This window comes from Homo sapiens, chromosome 1, assembly GCF_000001405.40.
Source record: "Homo sapiens chromosome 1, GRCh38.p14 Primary Assembly".
In the NCBI taxonomy this organism is placed as follows: domain Eukaryota; kingdom Metazoa; phylum Chordata; class Mammalia; order Primates; family Hominidae; genus Homo; species Homo sapiens.
In genome coordinates, this window is record NC_000001.11 from 37,743,367 (window position 1) to 37,769,970 (window position 26,604).

Consider the following 26,604-nt stretch of genomic DNA (forward strand, 5'->3'; position numbering starts at 1 on the left):
AAAAAGAAACGAGATGAGATAAAAATGGAGAAACTGAGAAGGGCTGGGTGAAGAAACTAAAAGTGCATCAGCAAAATTGAAATATTTAAAATAAAATTCATTACAAATACAAGGAATTTTAACAAAATCACAAACAGAATGCAAAATGAACCCCTCTCAGTCTTTGGAACATCAAGTAAAAAATAAGAAGGAACCACAACTGAATAATAACTCGTGATGGTTTAACTGATGATTGTTTTACCATGGTGTAAAAGCAATACAACCATTCTATTTTTGCACTTTCAGTACAGTGTTCAATAAATTACATGATACTCAGTGTAAAATACTCATTGTAAAATAGGTGATTTCGCCCACCTGTAGGCTAATGTAAGTGTTCTGGGCATGTTTAAAGTAGGCTAGGCTAAGGTATGATATCTGGCAGGCTAGGTGCATTAAATGCATTTTTGACTTATAATATTTTCAACTTATAATAAGCCCAATGGGACATAAGCCCGTCATTAAGTTGAGGAACATCTGTGTATATATAGATAGATATAGATATATAAAGACAGAGAGAGAAAGAACTACACCATAAAATAGTGCACATTGTTTTAAAGTAGCCATGAAATAGTTTAAAAATTTTTACCACGTACAAACCTCCATGAAGCACTACAATCAGCAACGTAAAGACAAACAAAATAAAAGCAAGTCATCTGGAAATAAAAGCACATCCTCTAAAATAATTTGATTCAAAACTACAACACTAAAAGAAAACACAGAAATGTTAACCTTGGACTAAGCAATGGTTTCTTAGCGATGACACCAAAAGCACAAGCAACCAAAGAAGAAATAAATAAATTTGACTTCATCAAAATTAAAAGCTTTTGGCCGGGCACAGTGGTTCACTCCTGTAATCCCAGCCCTTTGGGAGGCTGAGGCGGGTGGATCACGAGGTCAGGAGTTCGAGACCAGCCTGGCCAACATGGTAAAACTGTCTCAACTAAAAATACAAAAAAAAAAAAAAATTAGCTGGGTGCGTCAGTGTGTGCCTGTAATCCCAGCTACTCGGGAGGCTGAGGCAGGAGAACCATTTGAACCCAGGAGGCACAGGTTGCAGTGAGCAGAGATCATGCCACTGCACTCCAGCCCATCTAAAAAAAAAAAAATAGCTGGATGTGGTGGTGTGCACCTGTAGTCCCAGCTACTCTGGAGGCTGAGGCAGGAGAATCGCTTGAACCCAGGAGGTAGAGGTTGCAGTGAGCCAAGATTGCACCACTGTACGCCACCCTGGGCAACAGAGCAAGACTCCATCTTGGGGAAAAAAAAAAAGAAACTAAAAGCTTTTGTGATTGAAAGGCTATTCTCAATAAAGTGAAAGCCAAACCACAGAGTGGGAGAAAATATTCACAAATCATGTATCTGACAAGGTTTGTATGGGTTAAATTGTGTCTCCAAAAAAGATATGTTGAAGTCCCAACCACCACTTCCCATCTCAGAATGTGATCTTATTTTTACAGAGGTAATCAAGTTAAAATGAGGTCATTAGTGTGGGCCCTAATCCAATATGACTGGCATCTTCATGAAAAGAAGAATTTGAACACAGAGAAAAACACCTAGAGAGATGATGATGTGAAGACACAGGGAGAAGACAGCCATGTGACTAGAGTGATGCGTCTGCGAGCCAAGGAACACCAAGGATTGCCAGGAAACATAAGAAGCTGAAAGGCAGGGAAGGGTCCTCCTCTAGAATCATCAGAGGCAGCGTGGCTCTGACGACACCTTGATTTTGCAATACATTTGTTTTAGGCCAGCCAGTTTTTTGGCACCTTGTTAGAGCAACCCTGGGAAATGAACACAAGGGTCTAGTGTCTGTAATACATATCTATAGTTATAATATAACTTAATGACAAAAAGAAAACCCTGCACAGGAAAAGATGTTCAATATCATTAGTTATTAGGGAAATGCAAATCAAAGCCACAATGAGATATTACCTCACATCTGCTAGGATGGCTACTGTTTAAAAGACAAACAATAACAAGTATTGGTGAGGAGGCAGAGAAACTTGGACCCTTGTACTTTGCAGGTAGGAATGCAAAATGGTAGAGCTGCTTTGAAAAAGTTGGTAATTCCTCAAAAAGTTAAAAAGTTATTATATGTATTAGTCAGCTCAGGTTACCATAAAAAGAAACCACAGACCTTTAATAACAAAGGTGGCTTTCAAGCCAGGCATGGTGGCTCATACCTGTAATCTCAGCATTTTGGGTGGCCAAGGTAGGTGGATCACCTGAGGCCAGGAGTTTGAAACCAACCTGGCCAATATGGGGAAACCCTGTCTCTGCTAAAAAATACAAATATTAGCCAGGCGTGGTGGCACGCACCTATAATCCCAGCTACTTGGCAAGCTGAGGCTTGAGAATTGCTTGAACCTGGGAAGCGGAGGTTGCAGTGAGCTGAGATCGCACCACTGCACTCCAGCCTGGGTGACAGAGGAAGACTGTCTCAAAAAATACATAAATAAATAACAAAGGTGGCTTTCCTAACAAAAGCCACCTTTGGCTTTCATAACAAAAATTTATTTTCTCACACTTCTGGAGGCTAGAAGTCCCAGGTCAAGAGGTCAGCAGATCTGTAATCCGGTAAGAGCTGTTTTCCTGACCAGCCACCTTCCCACTGTATTCTCACGTGGCCTTTCCTCTGTGCACATATGGACAAAGAGTGAGTGAGCTGTGGTGTCTCTCCCTTTTCTTTTCTTTTCTTTTTTTTTTTTTTTTGAGATGGAGTTTCGCTCTTGTTGCCCATGTTGGAACGCAATGGCACGACCTCGGTTTACCGCAACCTCCACCTCCCAGGTTCAAGCAATTCTCCTACCTCAGCCTCCCGAGTAGCTGGGATTACAGGCATGCACCACCATGCCCAGCTAATCTTGTATTTTTAGTAGAGATGGGGTTTCTCCATGTTGAGGCTGGTCTCGAACTCCTGACCTCAGGTGATCCACCCACTTCGGCCTCCCAAAGTCCTGGGATTACAGGCGTGAGCCACCACACCGGGTAGTGTCTCTCCCTTTTCTTATAGAGATACCAGTCCTAATGGATTAGGGCCCACCCTTATATCTCATTTAACCTTAATTACCTCCTTAAAGAGACTCTCTCCAAATATAGTCACATTGGGGTTTAGGGTTTTAACACATGAATCTGGAGGTAACATAATTCAGTCCATAACCATATGACTTAGCAATTCTACTCCTAGGTATATAGCCATGAAAACTGAAAATATATGTTTATGCAAAAACATATATTCATTAATGTATTATGAATACATTAATATTCATAATAGTATTATTCATAATAGCCAAAATGTGGAAACAGCCCAATGTCTATCAACTGATGAATGGATAAGCAAAATTGTGGTCTATCCATGCAATGGAATGTCATTCAGCCATAAAAAGGAATGAAGTACTGATACGTGCTACAATATGGATGAAACTTGAAGCCATTATGCTAAGTGAGAGAAGCCAGACATGCAAGTTCACATATTGTATAATTCCATGTATTGAGATGCCAAGAAGAGGCAAATCCATAGAAACAGAAAGACCTAGTTGTTACCAAGAGCTAGAGGAGGTGGATGGAATGGTGAGTGACTAATGGGTTTCCTTTCAGGGTGATGAAATGTTTTAGAATTAGATAGCACTTGTTGCACAACTATGCGGATATATGAAAAATCACTGAACCGTATACTTCAAAAGGGTGAATTTTATGTTACATGAATTATACCTAAAAAAACCTTATAATACTAACAATGTGATAATATCATGTATCAAATGTATTGGAAGTGACAAAGCTATATTCAGAGGAAAACTCATAGCTTTAAAAAATTTAAACAAAAAATAACTAAGCACTGAACTTGCCTAGAAAAAGACTTCAGAGGTTGGGTGGGGTGGCTCACACCTGTAATCCCAAAACTTTGGGAGGCCAAGGCAGGTAGATTGCTTGAGTCCAGGAGTTCAAGACAAGTTTGGGCAACATAGTGAGACCCCCATCTCTACAAAAAACACAACATTAGCCAGGCGTAGTGGTGTGCACCTGTAATCTCAGCTACTTGGGAGGCTGAGGCAGGAGAATCGCTTGAACTCAGGAGGCAGAGGTTGCAGTGAGCCAAGATCATGCCACTGCACTCCAGCATGTGTGACAGGCAGAGTGAAACTGTCTCAAAAAAAAAAAAAAAAAACTTCAGGAAAGCAGGAGAGTGGTATTAATAAAGATAAAATCATAAAATATAGCCGGGCATGCTGACGTGCACCTGTAATCACAGCTACTTGGGAGGCTGAGGCAGCAGAATCACTGGAACCTGGGAGCCAGAGGTTGCAATGAGCTGAGATGGTGCCACTGCACTCCAGCCTGGGCAACAGAGTGAGACTCCATCTCAAAAATAATAATAATAATAAATCATAAAATAAGTGACGAAAGTAAAGAACAATGGAATTGATAGGTTCAAGAGCTGATTCTGTGTCATAACCAGTAAAATTAACTTCTGGCAAGGATAATTAAGAAAAAAGACAGAAATCACAAGCATACAACAGGAAGAAAGAGAAAGTGAAGTTAACTCCAGGTACTGAGGAAATGTATATACATTTCTAATAATAAATTAGAAAAAGAACACCAAAATATTTTCTAGGAAAGCACAAATTTATAAAACTGATCAAGACGTTACAGTAAAGATTAAAAATATCAAACCACCAGGTGCAGTGCCTCACGCCTGTAATCCCAGCACTTTGGGAAGCCAAGGCAGGCAGATCATCTGAGGTCAGGAGTTCAAGACCAGCCTGATCAACGTGGTGAAATCCCATGTTTACTAAAAATACAAAAATTAGCTGGGCGTGGTGGTGGTTGCCTATAATCCCAGTTACTTGGGAGGCTGAGGCAGCAGAATCACTGGAACCTGGGAGGTAGAGGTTGCAGTGAGCTGAGATGGTGCCATTGCATTCCAGCCTGGGCGACAGAGACTCCATCTCAAATAAATAAATAAACAAATAAATAAAACTTTCTCTCCAAAAATGGCATAGAACCCAGAAAGTTTCCCAGGCAGTTTTTTATGCCTTCAAAGAATATGTAAATGTGTTGTTAAAACTGTCCCAGAGCAGAGAAAAAGAAGAAATTTTTCCAGATACCTTTACCAAAGCCAGCATCCCCATAGTGCCAAAACTTGACAAAGAACACATTACAAAACACTAATCTCTCTTAGAAATGTAGATGGGAAAAATCTTAAAATATAAGCAAATGAACTCAGCAAAACATCCAAAGAATAATATATCTAGTAGGGTATAATCCAGGAGTGCAGAGAGTTCACACTGAAATATCCATTAATAGAATTCATCATACCGACAGGTCAAAAAGGAAAAAATTTGGTCATATTGAAAATGCTTAATAAGCATTTTATAAAATTAACATCCATTTCTGATTTTTAGAAAAAGTTCAATGAAGCATTATATGGCCTAGGGATTAAAGGCACAGGGCTTTGAGGTCAGACAGACCTGGGTTCCAAAACCAATCTAAGATGAGTTTCCTTTCTTTTCATCTTTTTTTTTTTTTTTTTTTTTTGAGGTGGAGTCTTGCTCTGTCACCCAGGCTGGAGTGCAGTGGCACGATCTCAGCTCACTGCAACCTCCACCTCCAGGGTTCAAGAGATTCTCCTGCCTCAGCCTCCCCAGTAGCTAGGATTACAGGTGTGCACCACCACGCCTGGCTAATTTTTTTTATTTTTAGTAGAGACGGGGTTTCACCATGTTGGCCAGGCTGGCTCAAACTCCTGACCTCAAACGATCCACCTGCCTCGGCCTCCCAAAGTGCTGGGATTACAGGCGTGAGCCACTGTGCCCAGCCCCGTTTCAATGAATTAATGTAGAAAATCATATTGCACAGTGCCAAATACAGCAGCACTAGATCAGTGGAAGCTTAGTATTTTTATTGAGAAAATGGAAATAGAAGAGTATTTCCTTAACATGGCTTCTAAATCTATCTGTGTCAAAACAGTTAAGATTGTTAACATAAGGCCGTGCACGGTGGCTCACGCCTGTAATCCCAGCACTTTGGGAGGCTGAGGCGGGTGGATCACCTGACGTCAAGAGTTCGAGACCAGCCTGGCCAACATGGCGAAACCCTGTCTCTACTAAAAATACAAAAATTAGCCGGTTGTGGTGGTGTGTGCCTGTAATACCAGCTACTCAGGAGGCTGAGGCAGGAGAGTCGCTTCAACCCAGGAGGCGGAGGTTGCAGTGAGCCAAGACTGAGCCATTGCATTCCAGCCTGGGTGATAGAGCAAGACTCCGTCTCAAAAAAAAAAAAAAGATTGTTAATGTAAAATGCCAGATAAAAGTTAGTATTACATATACCATCATGCATTGCTAAATGATGGGAAGATGTTCTCAGAAATGCGTTGTTAGGTGATTTCATTGTTATACAAACATCAGAGTGTACTTACACAAACCTAGACAGCATAGCCTATGACACGCCTAGGCTACAACCTGTACAGCCTGGGTGACAGCATGTGACTGTACTGAATACTACAGGCAACTGTAACAGAAAGTACTAAGTGACAGGAGTCTTTCAGCTCCGTTATAATCTTACAGGATCACCATCATATATGCCATCCATTGTTGACCAAAATGTCTTTATATGGTGCATGACTGTATTAAAACAAAAGGGATTTTATAGGTAGATAGTTACAAATATGAATACAGAGATCAAGATAGACAGGAAAAATTTTCTGGACGTATATACTCTAAGATATTAATAGTTGTTTTTATCTATGTAATAAGATTATGGGTTTTTTCTTCTTCTATACTGAATTTTTAAAAATGTGATCCTTTTGTAGTTTGCAAGTGTGATGATTGGGGATTCACACTCGTATGTGAGATGTGTCACCCCCGAACCTTTTCACGTTGGCAAAATACCCATCTGACATGAAAGAAAGATGGAAAAAAAGAATTTTTAAAGATGTAAATGCAATAGCAAATGTTAAATCACAATAGAGACAATAAAAAACAGTACTGTTCCAGAAACCCAGACAAGCTGGAAAATCTCCAAAAGGCAGTGGAAATGGATTAAGAGCTCAAAAGGATAAGGGAAGTGACAAGATTTGAGAATCAGAAAATGAATGTAAAACCTAAGGCTTAGAGATATTTTTAAGAGATATATTTGAGCTATCAGAAGTTCTAGTCAAAGCAGTGGCTGAATAAAACTTTTTTTTTTTTTTTAAGAGACATAGTCTGGCTCTGTCACCCAGGCTGGAGTGCAGTGGCACAATTATCACTCGCTGCAGCCTCAAACTCCTGGGCTCAACTGATCCTCCTCCTTCACCCTCCTGAGCACCTGGTACTACAGGCACACATCACCATGCCTGGCTAATTTTTAAAATTTTTTGTAGAGACAGGGTCTCACTATATTGCTCCTGGCCTCAGGCTCCCAAAGTGCTCAGACTAAGGGCATGAGCCACTGTTCCCGGCCTGAAGAAAACTTTTCCCGGGAAAAAAAAAAGTTGTGCAAATCAAAAGGTTTACTCAATCAAAAGAAATCCATATTGGTAGCCGGGCGCAGTGGCTCACGCCTGTAATCCCAGCACTTTGGGAGGCCAAGGAGGACAGATCACGAGCTCAGGAGATCGAGACCATCCTGGCTAACATGGTGAAACCCTGTCTCTACTAAAAATACAAAAAATTAGCCGGGTGTGGCTGCATGCCCCTGTAGTCCCAGTTACTCAGGAGGCTGAGGCAGGAGAATGGCGTGAACCCCAGACGCGGAGCTTGTAGTGAGCCAAGATCGCCACTGCACTCCAGCCTGGGCAACAGAGCGAGACTCCTCTCAAAAAAAAAAAAAAAAGAAAGAAAGAAAGAAAAAGAAAAAGAAAAAAAAAAAAGAAATCCATATTGGTTAAATGATTATTTTCAGCCTGGCATGAGGTGGCTCATGCCTGTAATCCCAGCACTTTGGGAGGCCAAGGCGGGTAGATGACTTGAGGTCAGGAGTTTGACACCAGCCTGGCCAATATGGTGAGACCCCATCTCTACTAAAAATACAAAACTTAGCTGGGTGTGGTGGTGCGCACCTGTAATCCCAGCTACTCGGGAGGCTGAGGCAGGAGAATCACTTGAACCCAGGAGGCAGAGGTTGCCATGAACTGTGATCACACCACCACACTCCAGCCTGGGTGACGAGCAAAACTCCATTTCAAAAAAAAAAAAAAGAAAGTCTGGCTAGGCGCGCAGTGGCTCACGTCTGTAATCCCAGCACTTTGGAAGCCTGAGGCCAGCAGATCATGAGGTTGAGAGTTGGAGACCATCCTGGCCAACATGGTGAAACCCCGTCTCTACTAAAAAATACAAAAATTAGCTGGGCGTGGTGGCATGCACCTGTAGTCCCAGCTACTCGGGAGGCTAAGGCAGGAGAATCACTTGAACTCGGGAGGCAGAGGTTGCAGTGAATCAAGATCGCGCCACTGCACTCCAGCCTGGTGACAGAGCAAGACTCTGTCTCAAAAAAAAAAAAAATTATTATCAACAGTAGGTTAAGCAGGTTAAAGAATTATTCTAACATCCGTGTGCATACGTGTACATGTCATATGTCCAAGTTAAGTAGAAAAGAATGAAAATAACCCTAGCCTCAGACTTCTTGGCAACACCACTGCCAAAGACAGAAGCGGGATCACAGAAAGCAGGGATGCAGGGTGACAGGCCGACCCTATAGGCTCGATTAGGAAGGGAGTCAGAAACCATACCACTCGCTTATCTTTCTTGCAAAGAATACAAGCATTACTTGAAGGTCCACCCCAGCTGAGAAGCGAATCAAAAGAAACTCTCAGGAATGAAGGTGTGGTGTGAAAAGGTTGTAGGTCTTCACTTATTCACCTCATGTCCAGACTCAGAGATGTATTGGCTGGTGTGTTCCATCGCCCCTACAGCCTAACTCTACAAGCTTCCTTGCCCTTTCCCGGGACCAGGAAAGGAGGTGGCCAGATGCAGCAAAACCATGCAGAGGCCGAGGGTTGGAGGTAAGGGACACAGGGCCGGATCCGGCTTCCCGAGACAGAGGGAAGGAAGTAAATTCGGATTCCTACTGACATTTTTTTAAAGGGAAGGTAAGAGATTAAGGGACTTTCCACCTCTTTTTCCCTGAGAAATCAGCGGCGAGGCCAACTGCAGAGCCGTGAGCGGGACAGAGGCTTTGTGCAAGGAGTCCAGGAGAAAAGCGAGCACACAGGTGCTTCCCGCAGACGCAACAGAACCGCGCGCCTCCCCTCTGGCCCAGTAGTAAGGGGACGCCTGCATCCTCAGTCCCTCTCGCACACTCGGGAGGGCGACTGACGCTGGGGCGTCCGGGGGGGTGACTTTGTGTCCCGGAGAGGGGCGGGGTGCGTGTACAGAGGATGGCTTCTCTGGGGTGGGTGGGTGGGGCTCCCGCAGGACCGACGGGGCGGCCCCAAGAGGGCGCAGGGGCGGCAGGCGCGGTGGCCTCGGGGTGGGGGGCGCGGACGGCCTTACCCCCGGGCCCGGTGGAGACGGTGACCTGCGCGTAGGTGGTTCCCGCGGCGGCCGCCGGGCCCGAGACGCCGTTGAGCGCGGCCACGCGCACGGTGTAGCGCGCGCCGGGCCGCAGGTGCAGCAGCGTGGCGGCTCGCTCCCGCAGCCCTGCCTGGCGCGGTAGGAAGGCCACGCGCGGCCCGCACGGCTCGCAGGCGCCCGCCGGGCCCTCGCGGCCGCAGCGCAGGCACAGCAGCGAGTAGGTGACGTCCGAGCGGCCTCCCGAGTCGGCCGGCGGCAGCCAGCGCAGTCGCAGCACCAGCGGCGAGCGGCTCAGGCTGTACTGCAGGTCCCGCGGCGCCGACGGCGGCCCTGAGGCGGCACAGGGGCGGGGCGGTCAGGGCGGGGCGTGGGTGCCCGTGAGAGGGGCGGGATGCACGAGGGGGGGGCGGGGTCTTGTCCACCCCCAGTGAGGCAGGAGAAGCAGGGGCGCGAGGGTCAGTCGGGGAGGAGGGAACCAGGGCGTTCATCAAGGGACTTGGTGGATGAGGGGGGACGGGGGACAGGAGAGACAGTGGCATGGGGTCAGTCAGGGAGGAAGGTAGAAGGGACGACCGGTGAAGGAACAGGGATGGATGAGCGGGAATGGGCCGTGGGAGCCAGTGGGCATGGGGGATAGGAAGGTGTGAGGGGTCTGGGGTGGGAGGAATGGGGGCGTGGGGTTCAGTCAGGGAGATTGGTACAGAGATGGTCAGTCAGTGAGGGGTCGAGGGCGGATGAGCCCGGGGCAAGCGGGAGCAGGGGCGAGCGGGAGCAGGGGTGAGTGGGAGCAGGGGCGAGCGGGAGCAGGGGTGAGTGGGAGCAGGGGCGAGCGGGAGGAGGGGCTTGCCCCGGGAAGGGTCAGAGACGGGGGCGTGGGGGCCCTTGGGAGGTCGGAATGTGAGAGTGGCGGGGCAGTTGGTGAGGATTTGGGAGGAGGTTAGTGAGGAACCGAGGATGGCAGCATGGGGACCGAACCGATGGTGCGAAGGTCGGGAGCCCCCCTTTCGGCTGGAGGGTAGGCAGGGTGAGGAGAGGGCAGCGGAGGGGCGCTCTCCTCAGTGATCTGCCAGGCATCCTAACCCCATCCTCCGTCTGGACTCTCGCAGTTGTCCTGGTTCTTCTCATCAAAGGCCCCGGCCCCCAGGGCGCGTCCAGGCTCCGCTCCCCCGTACGCCGCCTTCCGGGGCGCTGGCCCCCATATCCGCCCACGTGCGCCCCAGTGCGGAGACCCTGCCCTCACCACCACCTGGATCAGGCCTTCCTTCTTGGCCACTCCCACCCCCCACCCTCCGCAGTGCAGCCTGGAGGGGGGACTCACGGGTGCAGGAAGCCGAGGGCGGGTCGGTGGGTGAGCGCGCATAGCTGTCCTGGCACACGCAGAAGGTGGAGGCGTTTTCCAGGGCCCGGCTGTGCTCTGGGCACGGTGAGCAGAGGGGCCGCCGCGGGGACACCTTGTAAAACCCTGGGGGACAGGCTGCAGGGCATGGCTGGTGAGAAGAGGGGGCTCCTCCAGTTTCTCCCCGCTTTCCTGACTGGCCTGGTTAGGGCAGCGTTTATCTCCTCCAATTGCGATAGAAAAACAGTCAGGGGACTCAGCCACTCCAGTCAGCACTGCCCCGTGGAGTGACTCCTGAACAACCCATTACCTACCCTTAGAAAACGCTGTGTGTTCGGAAAACTTTGAAACATTTTACTTTCAGCCGGGCGCGGTGGCTCATGCCTGTAATCCCAGCACTTTGGAAGGCCAAAGCTGGAGATCACTTGAGCCCAGGAGTTGGAGACCAGCCTGGACAACATGGCCAAACCCCGTCTCTATTTATTATTTTTTAAATTACGTCTATTAATTCATTGAATCCTCACAACCACCTGTGAGGTTATATACTTTATCCTCTTTTTATTTTATTTATTTTTTCTTTTTTCTTTTCGAGTCTCCTTCTATCACCCAGGCTGGAGTGCAGTGGCGGGATCTCCACTCACTGCAACCCCCACCTCCCAGGTTTAAGCGATTCTCCTGCCTCAGCCTCCTGAGTAGCTGGGATTACAAGTGTGCACCACCATGCCCAGTTACTTTTTTTGTATTTTTAGTAGAGATGGAGTTTCACCATGCTGACCAGGCTGGTCTCGAACTCCTGGCCTCAAGTGATCTGCCCAGCTTGGTCTCCCAAAGTGCCAAAATTGCAGGCGTGAGCCACTGTGCCCGACCCTTTATCCTCTTTAAAATGAGGGAGCTAAGGCTAGGAGAGGTGAAGTTGCCTACAGCTACTCTCCCGCAGCCTGTGGGATCCCAACCCAAGCCCACATCACACCACCCTCAGGACCACTGGAAGAAAATAAGTCAAACTCTGCAGTGCTGGTGTGAGAAAGAGAGGGGAGGAGAGGTGCCCCAAGAGCTGTTCCACAGTTACGCAGGGACAGACACACAAGCATACATGCACACACACACACACACCCTCCCACCACCACCATCATGTGAGTGAGTGTGTCATAAATTCCCAACTGGAAGTAAAGCCAGCCAGGTGGAGGGGGGTGGGTGGAGAGAAAAGGGCCAGTAAAAGTTCCCTGGACCATGAGTCAGACCTGGTTCCAGTCTTGACACCTACTCAGTTTGCTTCTCTCACTTCTCAGAACACAGGTTGTTAAGATCACAAGTGTTTCTATCTGAACAACCTGGGTTTGTAGCTGAGTCACCCCACTTATTTGCTGTGTGGCCTTGAGCACATCAGTTGACCCCTCTGAGCCTTGTGTTGAATACCTACCTCAAAAAGGTTGTTGGAGGATTGAGATAAAACATGTAAACCACCTAGCCCAGTACCAACCACATTTTCACAATAATGATAGTAATTACTGTTCCTCCCCCACAGGCCTTAAGTGGTAACTGCTAAACACCCACTTTAAAAAAATTTCTCACCAGCTGGGCCAGTTGGTTCCTGGCCCTACCTCTCAGAACTTGGGTGGTCCTCACCTTGTTCCCTGGCCCTCTCCTCTAGTTTAGCTGGCTGCTCTCCAGCTCCAAGAAGACGCAGTACAACAGAAAGGGTGCAGACTAGCCCTCAGGAGGAACTTTCAGCCTGTGTGGCAGAAGAGGGGAGGGGACTAGGATTTCCACTGTCTGGAAGGCATAGGTTTGAGAGGGTCCATCTTGCCCAGAGTTCTGGGCAGCACAACTCTGGGGAGGGGCTCGGCAGCCCAGGAGCCTTCAGAAGTCTCCTCTGCCTGCAGAACAGAGCATGGGCCAACTATCCCCGTGGTCTGGTGGGCAGCAGAGACCCAGGCTGGGACTTGGAAAGCTTGGGTTCTAGTGTTGGCTGGGCCACTCCTTGTGCCTCTCTGGCCTCAAAAAAAGCATTGGTCAAATAGGAATAACAACCATGCCCTGCCCACCACTGTTGTGAAATAGGAGAGCAAGTGAGAGCCCAGATAAATGATCTGTTCGCAGGGTTTCACAAAAATAGGGGAAGAATGCTGGAGGCTCCCTCCCCACAAGTGTATGAGGGTGGCTGCTGTCCTAGAGGTGGGTGGGCCCATCAGCGACCACAGTGGTATCTCTGCTGTAAGAGGCTCTGCTTAGAAGGAGTTTGTGCTGAAGAGCAGATTCAGGGATTCCTGACTGCCAGCCCCTCCCTCTCTTCAAGGTCAGACCTTCAGAGATAATCTAGCTCAGCTCCCACTGGCCTGGTCCTCCGGCAGCTTCCCCAGCAGTAGCCACAGTCTTTGTCACATACTTTATCATGAGGCATTCACCCGCTTCTGAGGCTGCCTTTGTTGAACAATGCTGGCAGAAAGTGCTTCTTAGGATGAGCCCCCATTAGCTTCGCTGTCTGTAATGCCCCTTGTGCCACCCCATCACAGGGGCTCATTGTGCCCTATGGAGCCTCAGAGAACATATCTGCTTGGGTCCCTTGGCTCCAAGGCAATCCCACTGAGTTGTTTTGTTTGTTTGTTTCTTTGTGACAGGGTCTTGCTCTGTTGCCCAGGCTGGAGTGCAGTGGCACAATCATAGCTCACTACAGCCCCTGCCTCCTGGGGCCAAGCAATCCTCCCACCTCAGCCCTCCCAAGTAGCTGGAACCACAGGCATGCTGTGCAACCATGCCTGGCTAATTTTTTGTGTGTGGAGAGATGGGATCTCCCTGTGTTGCCCAGGCTGATCTTGAACTCCTGGCTCAAGCAATCCTCCTGCCTTAGCCTCCCAAATTGCTGGGATTACAGGTGTGAGCCACTGCACCTGGCCCTAGCAGAGAATTAAAGCTACTTGTTATATGCCCTGATTTTTTCCCCCAAAGGAAACCCCAGCTCTTTTACTAATTTCTCTAGTGGCTAACCGAGGGAGAACAAAAGTCAAGGTCACTAAAGAGAAACAAAAAGGGGAAAAGAACATATTCGTTCTATTCCCCCACTTATCCATCTACTTTTAGAGGGAAGCTTGTGTTAGCTGCAGAAGGCACTTGGAAGGCCTTAACTTTCTAAATGCAAATCCAATCATTTCCCTTCCCTTCCTAATGTCCTCCAACAGCTCCCCACTGCCAGCCACTCTAACCATGGTACACTGAGCTCATCCTTTCACACCTCTGGGTCTTGTTCTGTAATTCCTTATATCCTTTTTCTCCTGGCAAACTTCTATACTTCTCCAAACCCCAGTTCAAATAACATCTCCCTTGTGAAGCTTTCCTTGGCATTGTCCCCAGCTCCCCACTCCCCAAGGCAGAGCTGAGGCCATTACAAATGGCCTTTTTCTGTTCTCATCAGACATGGTTTGGGTTCCTGAGTCTCTTTCTCTCTCTCTCTCTTTCTCCCTCATTTCCCAGAGAAACCTCCTCCTCTCACTCCTGATCCATTCATTCAGCAAATATTTTTTGGCATCTACTAGGTAGGCTCTATAGATACACAACAATGAATAAAACAGACAAGGACCTTACTGTCCATTTGTACAGATGCCCTCCCTCCCACCTTATAGGGAGAAGGGAAGCCATCAGTTGATAATTCCCTCAACATCTGCCCATCAGAATACACAAATGCCCCCATCCACAACCATCTCCCCTCTCCTCCTCCCTTCCAGTCCTAGAGGAGGGAATGAGCCACCTCCTGTTGAAGGCCAGCCCCTCTGTCTCCACCCTGGATCTCTCCCTTTAACCTCATCAAATACTACATTCCATCAGTCATCTCCCTTCTTGGTAGTGAAGCAGTAAAAAGTGGCCCATTTTGGGTGCAGGCAATAAGGGCACAAACTATAGAGTATGTAAAAACAATAATAAAACTGACTAAAATCTGGCCTGCTTTTTTATTAGCAAAATGCATCAGCAATTCTAGCCCACATCAGTAATAAAATACTCCTGCCTCCTGGGACCGGGATGGGGATCCCCCCCATATACACACTTGGTATCCCAGTGGCTCTTTGTCCTTCCGCATACAAACAAGTCTCTCCCATCTATAATAAAAATCCTCTCTCAATCCAATGTCCTCCTCGAGATACCTCCTCTTCTAATTCAAATCCAGGCTTCTAGATTCCCTGACTCAAGCTCTTCAACTTCCTTTATCCCTCAATCTACTGCAACCTGTTCTCTGTGTCCATCACTCAGCTGCAATTGCTCTCACCAAGGCCACCAACTGGGCACTTTCTAACCCTTGACTTACCTGACTGCTTCCCAACTCTGTAGGGCATTCCTTCCTGGACACCTTCAATCTCTCTTGGCTGTCATAATATCACACTCTCCTAGTTCTCCTCCATACTCTGATCACTCCCTCTCAGCCTTTTTAATGGGCTCTGTATTTTCTACTTGTCCTTAAGTATTGCTATTCTATGAGTCTTCATTGTTGGCCCTCTTGGCTTCTTACCCCACACGTTCTCCTGGTCTGTCCCAACCACACCCACAGGTTCAAGTACTGTCTCTGTCTTTCAGAGCTCCAGACCCACTTTCTAGCTACCTCCACTGGAATGCACCGTGGACATCATAAATATGTGTCTATCCAGGTCCTGTGTTCTGTACCCTAGTGAATGATCCCTCTGTCCATTCAATCCCCAGTAGCATGTAAGTCAAAGGGGACTCCTTTCTCCTCCTGTATCACATGGTCACTAAGTGCTGTGGATGCTAACTCATGATCCCATCTATCCTCATCTCTCAATGATCTCTGCCACTACCTTAGTTCAGCCCTTGTGCTCTTTCTCCTGCACTATTGCACCATCTTCCTTCTTCATCTTCTGGCTCCTAATCCTTCCCTCTTCAATCCTTTCTTTGCAATTGCAGCTTGAGTGATATTTTGAAAATACAAATCTGAGCATGTCAGATCCCTGCTTCAGATCCTCCCCATTGGCCTAAAGCATAAAGTCTAAGCTCTTTATCCCAACATTCAAGGCCTTTCATGATTTCCACCTGCTCCTCTCCAACCCCATCACTTCACTCCCACACCCCCACATGCCCTCTGCTCCAACCACATTTAGTTACATAGGCCCAGCCATGCTATGTTCCTTCTGCCTCCATCCTTCTGCATGCAATTCCTAAGCTTAGAATGCTCTAAGCTGCCTGGGAAAAAAAAACCTTCTCACCTTCTCTGGGAAGCCTTCTCCATGCTTAGAATTAGGTTCTCCCTTCCATGCTTCCTTAGCTCTCTGTTTATGTTTCACACCCTATAGTAACCACTTTTTCACCCAATGCATTTTCACTGAACACCTACCGTATGCCTTATCCTGTTATGAATGCTGGGGCTGCTGACACTAGTAACACCCAGTGCCTGAGCTCAAGAAGTTCCTAATCTAGGGTGTGGTCCCTATAGTCCCACCTACTCAGGAGGCTGAGGCAGAAGGAATGCTTGAAACCAAGAACTCCAGGCTGTAATGCACTATGATCATACCTATGAATAGCTGCTACACGCAAGCCCAGGCAACATAGACAAACCCCCATTTCTAAAAAAAAAAAAAGAAGTTCTTAATCTAGTGGTGAAAACACACATAAGTAGATCAGTGCATACCATGGGGTAAGTACAGAAATAGGTTTCAATGAATGCTGGAGAGCACCGAGGTGGATCCTAACTATATCTGGAGAGCTCAGGAAGGTTCATGCCTCCCAGTCTTTCTCTAAATTACAATTTCCGCAGGGAGGAGATGGTGGCATTCATCTATATACATATAATAAGCCCTCAATAAATGCAGCTGGCACATCCTCAATTCATATTGGATGGATGATTGAACAAAGGAATGAGAGCAAATTTAGTCACTTCCTCCCCTGTCCTCCCACCACTCTGTGTATCCCTCTGTTATAGCATATATTACCCTCTTGTGATTTTTAAATTTTTGCATCTCTCCATCTAGACTGTGAGCTTCTTGAGAGCTAGGACTATGTCTGACTCATTTCTGTTGCCCTGGCACCCAGAAAAGGACATGGTTTAGAAAAAGCATACCTTGATCTTTCTATATTAAGTACACACATTAATAACCCCATCATCACCCTCTGTATCCAAAGCCACAGGCAAGAGAGAGAATGAGAGGTCTGTTCCTAATGCCCCCACTAGCCTGAGAACCCAGCAAAACCCTCAACATGAAGGATCTCCCCCAGGGAGCACAGTGATTGTAGTTCAGAGAGTGGGATGTGATCTTCGTAATCATCTAGTGCAACTTCCCAATCCCTCTCTCCAGCATAAAAATCCCCCCTGCCAGCCTCTAACTTGCAAGTATTTGGTCCGTGACTGGGAGATTCCTCTCTGTAATGCAACCAATCCCACTAGCCTGAAGATTGGGCTGCTGTAGAGTTCTTCCTTATGCACTGAGGAGACCTCATGATGTCATAGAATGTGAGTTGGGCAAGCCTGAATTCAAATCCTAGCTCCCCATTTCCTAACTTTGCAAGTGAGGTACTAATCTCTCTGAGGCTCTGTTTCTTCATCTGTGAAATAGAGATAAGAATGACTTCCTTTAGGCCAGGCACGGTGGCTCACGCCTATAATCCCAGCACTCTGGAAGGCCTAGGTAGGTGGATCACTTGAGGTCAGGAGTTTGAGACCAGCCTGGCCAACATGGTGAAACCCCGTCTCTACTAAAAATACAAAAATTAGCTGGGCATGGTGGTGCACGCCTATAATCCCAGCTACTCAGGAGGCTGAGGCAGGAGAATTGCTTGAACCCAGGAGGTGGAAGTTGCAGTTAGCCAAGATCAAGCCAGTGCACTCCAGCCTGGGCAACAGAGCAAGAGAGACTCCTTATTTTAAAAAAAAAAAAAAACAATGACTTCCTTTATTGCCATGAAAATAAATAAACGAGAAGGCCTGTGCAAGGTGCCTAAGATATAGATCCCTAATGCCTCCTTAGCCAGTCAATTTCATCTAGTAAGTTCACTCATTGGCCCTGACTGGACTCACTGGAAACTCCACAAGACTTCAGGGCTCTCCTTGGGCTCCAGAGTCCAAGGCTTCTCCACCGCCCCCCGACCCCACACCCGCCTCTTTCCTCTAGGGCACACTCTCTCTCAATTGCCACCTACGCTCTACACTCCCACCCCACGGCCCCCAGCCAACTGGATACCTTCGCAGAAGTCACCACGCTCCTGGAATCCCGCGCTGCAGCTGCAGCGGCCCACAGGCACCAGCCACTCGCCGTCGGCGCCGCAGTGCATGCGTGGGGGGCTGCCAGGCTCCCCTTCCGAGTGCGCCACGCACGTTCCGGCCACTTCCACCAGTGTGGAGAAGGCGCTCTCGGCTGCGGTGGCTGGGAACGTGGCCAGGCCCCGCACGGTGGCGCGGCACTGCTTGTAGTAGACGCGCACCGAGACAAGCGCCACGCATGCGCCCACGTCCTGAAAGGCCAGGTGGAAACCCCGCCGGCTGAGCGGTCCGATCTCGCGCACCTCTGTGTTCAGCTTCATCTTGCGCTCACCCAGGTCGCCCTGCGTGAAGCTCTCGTCCGCCGCGATCGTGTCGATTTTGCGGGGCCGGCTGCCGCCTAGGCGGGGACGCCCACGGCCCAGGTCGGCCTCAGTTTCCAGGTAGTAGACGTTGAAGGTCTCCTTGCAGGTACCCGCGGCGCCAGGGATGCTGCTGCAGTCACGGAGTGTGAACTGCAGTTCCACGAAGATGCGCTGCCCGCGGCCACGGCTTATCCAGCCAGTCTGCAGCCAGTTGTCCTGGTTGGGCTCCAGCACATTGCACACTTGGTACGTGCGGATGGGACGGTCGTGTTCATCCACGCCGCTGATCTCCTCCCACTGGGGACAAGAGTAAAGGGGTGGGCAGCCCAGAGCCAAAGTGCTTCCAGGAGGTGGAGCGCTAGCAGTGACTCCTGCTTTCTCTCTCATGCACCATGCACACCCCGGAAATTGTAAGATGCAGCGCTGGGAGAAACTTTGGAAACAAATGATCCCAATCCTTATTTTTATAGATGGGGAAACTGAGGCTCCAGAGGGAGAGCGATCTGACCAGGTATGCACATCAAGTTAGTGGTGGAGCTAGGAATGGTGCCTGTAGTTTCCTGACTCTCTGACCAGTGCCCTTTGCACTCCACCAAGCTGCTGTTACAGCCCACATCATCCTCCCCTACCCCAAGTCTCCAAGCCTCTTTTAGGACTCCCAGTCTTGCTTGCTGTGTCAATCAATCAACAACATTGCTTGGAGGATCTACTACTATGTGCAAGCCACTGTCCTGTATTAGCTCCATCCAGATGCCACATTTCTGTTCCTAGACAGCCAGTTCTCTCCTCACTTATTCACTTTTTTTTTTTTTTTTGACTGTCTAACTGGCTGAAGACTCAATGTTTTCTAACAGGCCACTCTGGCTTGAAGCCAGGGCTGCTGGAGACCACACACTCTGAGGAGCACTTTTGTCTGATGTAAACATGAGGAGCTGAGGAGACTGTGTCCTGGACCACCAGAGGATCCCTGGGACAGGGAGGGACACTTGTGCACTTACCCCATTACTTGGCAGTGCAGTCCAGCCCAGCTCGGCCTGGGAGGCTTTGGAATCCAGGAGGATAACTAAGGAGAGGGGAAGACAGAAATATCAGAAATCGAGAAGGTCAGTTTAGCAAGAGAGTGGAATCCTTTGGTGAAGTCCCTGTAAATTTGCTGAGAGAATGCAATATGTGACAAATGATATGGGCAAGTTTTTCCCACTCCATACATCCCCAGGAGGGGTGTGAATAGCTCAAATCCAGAGAGAGGTAGCCACAGTCAGTAGGGAAGGAGCTTGTATTCAGTTCCTGGGGCTGCTGTAACATATTACCACAAATTTAGTGGCTTAAAACAACACAATATTTTTCTGTTACAGTTCTGGAGGTCAGAAGCCCAAAGCCACTTTCACTGGTCTAGAGTCAAGGTGTCAGCAGGACTGTTTTCTTTTGGAGGCTCTGAGGGGAGAACTCATGTCCTTACCATCTTCAGCGTCTGGTGGCCGCCTGTAGTCCCTAGCTTGTGGTCCCCTCCTCCATCTTCAAATCACATCACTTTAATCTCTGCCTCAGTCATCACACTGCCTCCTCCTCTGACTCTGGCTCCTCCTGCACCCCTCATACAAGGACCATTGTGATTATTGGGCCCATCCAGATAATCTAAAACAACCTCTCCATCTCAAAAGATCACTAATCACATATGCAAAGTCCTTTTTGTCAATTAAGCTAACATTCACGGTTCTAGGGATTAGGACATTGACATATTGGGGGTGGGGGTCATCATTCAGCCTTCTACAGGGTCCATGGCAAATACTCTAAGGTTGGCTCTCAGATTGGGGGTGGGAGTCAGTGACTCTCCCCAGCCTTCTTAGGTTCCCAAAATTATAGCTAAGAGTCAATTAGAGAGAGAGAGAGAGAGAAAGTGAGTAGTGAATGTATCAGGGGATTCCTGTATATACCCCCCAATCCACTCCTACTCAGGGGCTTTTCTGAGGTCGGTGGTCCCCAGGCATGAAGACTTGAACATTTTTAGACTGACTCCCGGGCCTCTGAGAAAACAATGTGGAGAGATACTGCTAACAACTGGAGAAATAAAATCTCTCTTCTCCTCAGCCAGCCCTTTTCCCAGGGGCTGTCACTTCCACTGCTTTTGAAAGAATGTCTGGGGTTCTTTTATGTATACATCTATGACCCTTCCTACCAGAGAAGCTTGAAGTCCCTTTATTCCCCCAGGAGGCATCGGATCAGCAGCCTGCAACCTCTCAGCATGGATCACAGAAAATGGTTTGGACAGCAGAGTCCGCAGACCAGAGACAGGAGGTCAGGACACCCCGGAGTCTTGGGAGATTACCCTCTGGAGCTTAAACCAGGGGGTGGGCCACCAAGGTGAGGGCCTCTCCAGAGGCGTCAGCGACTGTGGGCAGGACCGCCGACGGCTTTCCGAGATCCGCGCAACTGACAGCACATCGGAATCGCGAACTGGAAGGCATCAGCCATCCAGGGCCCAGACCAACCCCGCGGTCAACGCCTCAGATTCCAGCTCCTCCGGATTCTGCACCTAGATATGACGCCTCTGGATTCAACTGAGCGTATAGCTCCCCTAAATGCACAATCAGAGGCAAGACGCGGGCTCCAGTATCGCCGACAGCCTCAAACCCGGCAACGCGGAGCGCGCCCGGCAGACTACGCTCAGAATTCAGCACTGCGGACAGTTCCATGATCAGCACGTCGGGCAGCGCCCGGATCCAGCCCCCTCGACCAGCATTCCACCTTCTGTTGGCCACACTGTGGTCTCCTAGCCCCTGTAGTCCGGGCTCCATCCCGTCTCCCCATATTCCGAGCTCACCTCCGCATCTCCCTGTCTCCACTCTTCATCTCCCCGCCCCCGCACCTCCCACCTCCAATCACTCAGCTTGTCCGTCTCACCGGCCGCTGGACCGCCGCCTCTGGCTCCCGCGGTTCCTGGCCTCTTTCTTTCCCAACCTCCCGGGTCTCCAGCCCCCAAGCTCCTCAGCGCCCCTCTCTTCGCTACTGCTTGATCACATTTTTCTCTGTCTCTCCAGTTCTTTGCTGCCTGCTTGCTTCAAGCCCCAATACAGACTCTAGTCTCTCCAATGACTCCTTCCCCCAGAACCCCCATCGCCAGCCCCCTATCTTTTGGTATGCCACGCTCCGAGCAGAGCTCACCAGTCTTCTCACCTTCCTCGGCGGTCCCAGGCCGCCAGGGTCCCAAAAGCAGCGCGAGACAGAGCTGCATCCGGCAGAGGAAGAGGCGCAGCGGGTGTGGACCGGCGCAGGTCTCCATGGTCCGCAGACCGAGCTGTCAGTCCGGCGGCGGCTCAAGCCGCGCCAGCCTAGCACCGCTGAGCAATGCCCCCAGACCCCAGAGCCAGCGGGGGGCGGAGTCTCACCGCTCACCATCATCCATGGGAACCAATCACTAGGCACCGCCGCGGGATGCCAACCAATCCCCGCCAGCAGAGGGTGGGAAGGTGGAGTTTCATAGGCCAGGGGCGGAACACCCAACTGGTGGGGAAAGGAAGGGGTCCTGCAGATCTCCAAACCGTGGGGGGTGGGGCAGCTGTGGGAGCTGGCAGGGCTTCTGCGAGAGGGGAATGAGCTGGCATCGGTGGCCCAGAGCGCTAAACCTTAGCTCCTCATTCCTGAGAAGTAGGCAGGCAAGGTGGGCTTGGCTTAAGGAGGGGCGACCCTCGGGGAGGCAGCAACACTTGCAGCCTCTGAGCTAGTCTGAAAGCTCCCTTGTTCCCAGGACTTGCGGGGTTTTGAAGCTTTATGTCCTGACCCCAAGCTCTGGGGAGCTCTCCTGTCTCCCTGCCCTAGGTCTGTTCCTGTGTCTGAGGCTCCCGGTGTCTCCTAGCTCATCCCCCCCTTTCTCTTCCCGCCCTCATCACACACACACACACACACACACACACACACACACACACACACACACAGCGGCAGGAAGGAGGGGCCGAACGATCCCGGGAGCTGCTCGGGAAAGGAGAGCAAAGTGAGGGACGGGGTCCTGCCCTACCAACGCGCTTCCGAGGCTGGGAAACCATGTGGACGCTGGGATGGGGGCGGTGGCGGTTTTGCATGAACGATCGGTTCCTCAGGTTCTTGCTCCTGCTGTCAAGATACAAGCAGCACACCTCACAACCACCCATGCCCTCAGTCTGCTCAGAGTCGGGGGTTCCCCTCTTTGATCACCCCACTCCGCCCACCCCAGGGGACTGGTGAACAGCACAGAGGCCAGGAATCGGAGACATCTGCGAGAGAGGCGGAGCAATCCTGGCAGAGTTCAGCCGGCGCTGAAGAAGCCGCAAGAAAACGTGGAACAAGACCTCTGTCTAGTGAAGGTCATTTATGTGCAAGCTGAGGGTTTAACACTTTGGTGGTGGGAAGGGTTGGGGCCCTCCAGGACGAGGGAGGCGGCTACTGAGCGCCACCATCTGGGCTGAACTTGAGGGGAGAAAGCTCCACCCACCTCGTGGCTTTTCCGAGCTCTTTTCTTGGGGGACCCACCCCCTCTCTATTTGGAAGCGAATATAGCCTGAGAAACCTCGAGAGTGAGTGTGAGTCCTGTGACTACTTGGCCCCTGCGGTCTGAGTGTCTGTGCTTTTGCATATATGTATCCCTCACCCCTCTACCCAGCCCTCACTGGGCGCCATGCTCTGTGCTGCGGATGCCCTGGTGAACCACGCTGTCTCTGCCAGAGTCCATACCTCTTTGAACGCCGAGTGTAAGGAGGATTCCTGGCATCGTAGATCACTGGCCATTTACAACCCGCTTTCATGTGCCATTTCTGCGTGTGTGCTTGTGTATATGTGCGAGTAAATGCACACGTGCCCACTCAGACATACTTGCTGGACAGTAGCAATAGGAGGAGTAGGTGGGAGGAATTGGTCTTCTTTACCTGCAGAAAGAAAGGTCATCAGGAGAGGCTGTGGCTTGGACACCACAGGAGACAAGCCCCCTGAGGAAGCAGAAGGAGGTGTGGCATCCCTCCAGTCCTTGGATGCAGGCGGGACTTCTAAAACCAGACCTACCTGAGGAAGGGTTCTCACACTGCCACCTCCTTTCCATCTTCATTCTCCTCACGCTCGATTTCTCCCCTCCCCCTGCCTCCACCTCTGGGAGATGGTATTTTTAGAAGCTGCTTAGAGACCCAGGACTCCTTTCATTTCAAAATGAGTCCTCACTCCACCACCCCTCACTCCTCTTTAAAACCGGGTTCCATCCCCTTAGCAGGCTCTAAGGCACCAATCATGGCTTCTTACTGAAGCTCCAGGGACTTCAGCCCAGAGGTTCTGACCCTCGGTGCTAAAACAAAATACAGACTTCCTCTGAACCTGACAAGGATCTTTCAGAAACCAAACAGATGGGGGAAATTATCTGGGGAAATCTACATAGGATGCTCTGGCAAATACCTGACTGTTGGAGTCTGGTTTCTACCCTCTTCCACCACACACACCTTCACGCATCTGGGGGAAATTTCCAGACAGAGACCCTAGGAATAGGGGGAAAGAAGAGGAAAAAAAAGGAGTGAAATAATCCTTCCCTTTCTTCCTCTGAGCAATTCATTTACAATAAAACCAGAATGGAGAAGCCCCAGTGAATGCAGATATATGCAAATCAGCTGGATGTTAATAAGAGTTGCTCTAAGGCGGACCCCACTCTACCAGGAAGCCGCAGAACTGAAAGCTCAGTAAAGAAATTCCGGAGGGCCTTAGAAGGAAACCAACCCATTGTTTATCTCGACCTTTAAGTGCTGGGGGCCAGTTAACTAATGGAAGGGGTTAGGTTCCTCCCAGGAATAGCAATGGGGACTAGTGAAATTGGGGGTGGGGACAGAGAAGGGGTATCTGTCTATGGCATTCAACCCTCAGCCCTCAGCAGCTTTGGGCTGCTTTCTGTCTATGGTGCTGAATCCAACAGAGTCTGGACATTCAGTTAGACCTCGGACTTCTCTGCTGCCATGTTCTGATCCTTGGCAGGATCATAAAGAGTAAGTAGTTTTGCTTCATAATCTTAAAGATTTTCTCTGCTTAATTTTCAAAATTAGTAAATTAAATGCTTTATATTTCCTTTACCTAAGAAAATACAGTGGTTGCATCTGCTCCTCCGGCCTATAACCAAAATCCATCAATTCATGTCTTCAGGAGATAAGCACCCTTCACTCCCTTGCAGAAGGGTGGAGGGGCCTGGAACCCACCCAGAAACATCTTGTTTTCTCTTTTGCTCCTCTCAGAACTCTACTGAAGCAGGCTGGAAGGGATACTCCTCTCTACTTCTACCTCACTATCTTCTAGGATCATGGGGAGGACACTTGATGAGGCCGAGCAACTTAATTAAACACCCAAAATAATAAAAAGTGACCTTCCAGGGAGCAGATTTAATGTTACCACAACCTCCATCTCCAAGTTACTGAAAGTTACAAATCTAGGTGCTGAAGATTTGACCTCTTCCTTTTGCACAGATACAGAAAGTATGTTGAGCCTGACTGGACAGAGAAGGTTATCTCCTCCATAAAGAAGTTTAAGTTTGTGTCAGAGGAATCAGGGTCAAGTCCCACTCTCAGGAAGAAGGATGGGGAGAGGCAAAGAGCAGTGAGAGCTTTATTGTTCAAAGGGTCATCTTTTTTTTTTTTTTGAGACAGTGTCTCACTCTGTTGCCCAGGCTGGAGTGCAGTGGCCTGATTTCAGTCCACTGCAACCTCTGCTTCCCAGGTTCAAGCGATTCTCCTGCCTCAGCCTCCCAAGTAGCTGGGACTACAAGTGCACACCACCACAGCTGGCTAATTTTGTATTTTTAGTCGAGATGGGGTTTCGCCATGTTGGCCAGGCTGGTCTCAAACTCCTGACCTCAAGTGATCCACCCACCTCAGCCTCCCAAAGTGCTGGGATTATAGGCATGAGCCACCATGCCTGGCCTAAACTGTATTTTCTTAGATAAAGGAAGCACAAAGCATTTAATTTACTAATTTTGAAAATTCAGCAGAGAAAACCTTTAAGATTATGAAACACAACCACTTACCCTTTATGAGCCTCCACTTCTTTCTTTGTAAAATAGGAACAAAAACAGTTTTCAGAGTTATTGTGAGGTCAGAATATAATTTTTACATGTGACCCAGCTCTGTGCTTGGCACATAGCTCTGGTATATATTATTTTTCAACTCCATGGTTAATTAAGGTAAACAACAACAACAACAAACAAACAAACAAAAAACAGAAGAAAAAAGGAAAAGAAGTCTGGGCACGGTGGCTTACACCTGTAACCACAGCACTTTGGGAGGCTGAGGCGAATGGATTACCTGAGGTCAGGAGTTCGAGACCAGTCTGGCCAACATGGTGAAACTCCATCTCTACTAAAAGTACAAAATAGCTGGACATAGTGGTGTGCACCTGTAGTCCCAGCTACTCAGGAGGCTGAGGCAGGAGAATTGCTTGAACTCGGGAGGCAGAGGTTGCAGTGAGCCGAAATTATGCCATTGCACTCCAGCCAGAGCAAAAAAGAGAGAAATTCCGTCAAATAAAAAAAAAAAAGATAAAGGAAGATTAAGTGGTGAAGTAGGAAGAGAGAAAGATATATATAATTAGAGAGAGAGAGTCATAGAGGAAAAGACAGAATGAGGGATAAAGAAAGAGACAGCTGATTGAGATGAATGTGGCTAGGAAGCACAGGAGTCTGAAAGAAATGTGCTTGAAGAGACAGGAGTGTCATCAGGGCAGGCTGGCTGGCCAGCTGACAAGTGGCATCAGAGGTGACTTTTACCTTGGTAAATTCATCATGGTCCAGGCTTATGAACTTGACTTTAACAGCATTAAGAGAGAACCTATCTATTGGGGAATGGAAAGTAGATCCTACTAACCCAGCTCCTATCCTGCTATCTGAGCCAGAGAAGCAATGTATTAATTTATGATGAGAAATAGAACTGCCAAGGGGACCAGAATGCTCACAATGCCATGTCCAGCACATTCTTTCCCCGTAGGAAAATATGCACAGGAAGCCAATTTATGATGTGAAGACAGCTTTGAGAGTGGGACGGGAGGGAGGTGAATGGTTTAAATATTTGATGGCATCAGGCTCGGATAGCTTTGTGCCTCCAAATCCCCAGAAGGAATAAACCTGCTACTGGCACCTGAGTAACTGTGTAGGGGCCAGGACTGGGATGGAATATACAAATATGTGCTTCTCTGACTCTC

The 26,604-nt window shown here is 48.9% G+C and overlaps 1 protein-coding gene, 1 long non-coding RNA gene and 1 other non-coding gene across 14 annotated transcripts in view, besides 2 other annotated features; 1 reads left to right on the forward strand and 2 right to left on the reverse strand.

Moving 5' to 3' along the window:
* The window catches only part of EPHA10 (EPH receptor A10), a 51,241-nt gene extending 29,487 nt beyond the window's left edge, over nt 1–21,754 (reverse strand). For 8 of the 12 annotated variants that reach the window (XR_001737124.2, XR_946613.3, XR_001737123.2 and 5 more), the window contains exon 1: nt 9,131–9,315. Coding sequence is in view for 5 of the 12 variants with exons in the window: in XM_017001080.1 (XP_016856569.1) it covers nt 9,131–9,296 (166 nt within the window). In the remaining 7 variants the exon portion in view is untranslated. Of the gene's footprint in view, nt 1–9,130; nt 9,316–9,509; nt 9,871–10,848; nt 11,005–16,918; nt 18,718–19,418; nt 19,484–21,594 lie in introns of those variants that run through there. The other 4 variants (XR_946610.2, XM_047418403.1, NM_001099439.2 and 1 more) reach the window with 3 other exon arrangements.
* Nucleotides 6,836–6,936, forward strand: LOC124904835 (small nucleolar RNA U13). The gene has a single exon (XR_007067431.1). It is a non-coding gene; the product is annotated as a small nucleolar RNA U13 (small nucleolar RNA).
* Nucleotides 9,830–9,879: a silencer, noted in NCBI's record as "silent region_676". NCBI's record gives its function as "represses an Ori minimal core promoter by ATAC-STARR-seq in GM12878 lymphoblastoid cells {active_cell/tissue: GM12878}" and the evidence as "EXISTENCE:reporter gene assay evidence [ECO:0000049][PMID:35858748]".
* Nucleotides 9,890–9,939: a silencer, noted in NCBI's record as "silent region_677". NCBI's record gives its function as "represses an Ori minimal core promoter by ATAC-STARR-seq in GM12878 lymphoblastoid cells {active_cell/tissue: GM12878}" and the evidence as "EXISTENCE:reporter gene assay evidence [ECO:0000049][PMID:35858748]".
* Nucleotides 21,755–22,362: 608 nt separating the features above from the next.
* Nucleotides 22,363–23,950, reverse strand: LOC105378650 (uncharacterized). The gene is made up of 3 exons (XR_947192.2): nt 23,830–23,950; nt 23,125–23,315; nt 22,363–22,527 (listed from the first exon to the last, which is right to left on the reverse strand). It is a non-coding gene; the product is annotated as an uncharacterized LOC105378650 (long non-coding RNA).
* Nucleotides 23,951–26,604: the final 2,654 nt, after the last annotated feature.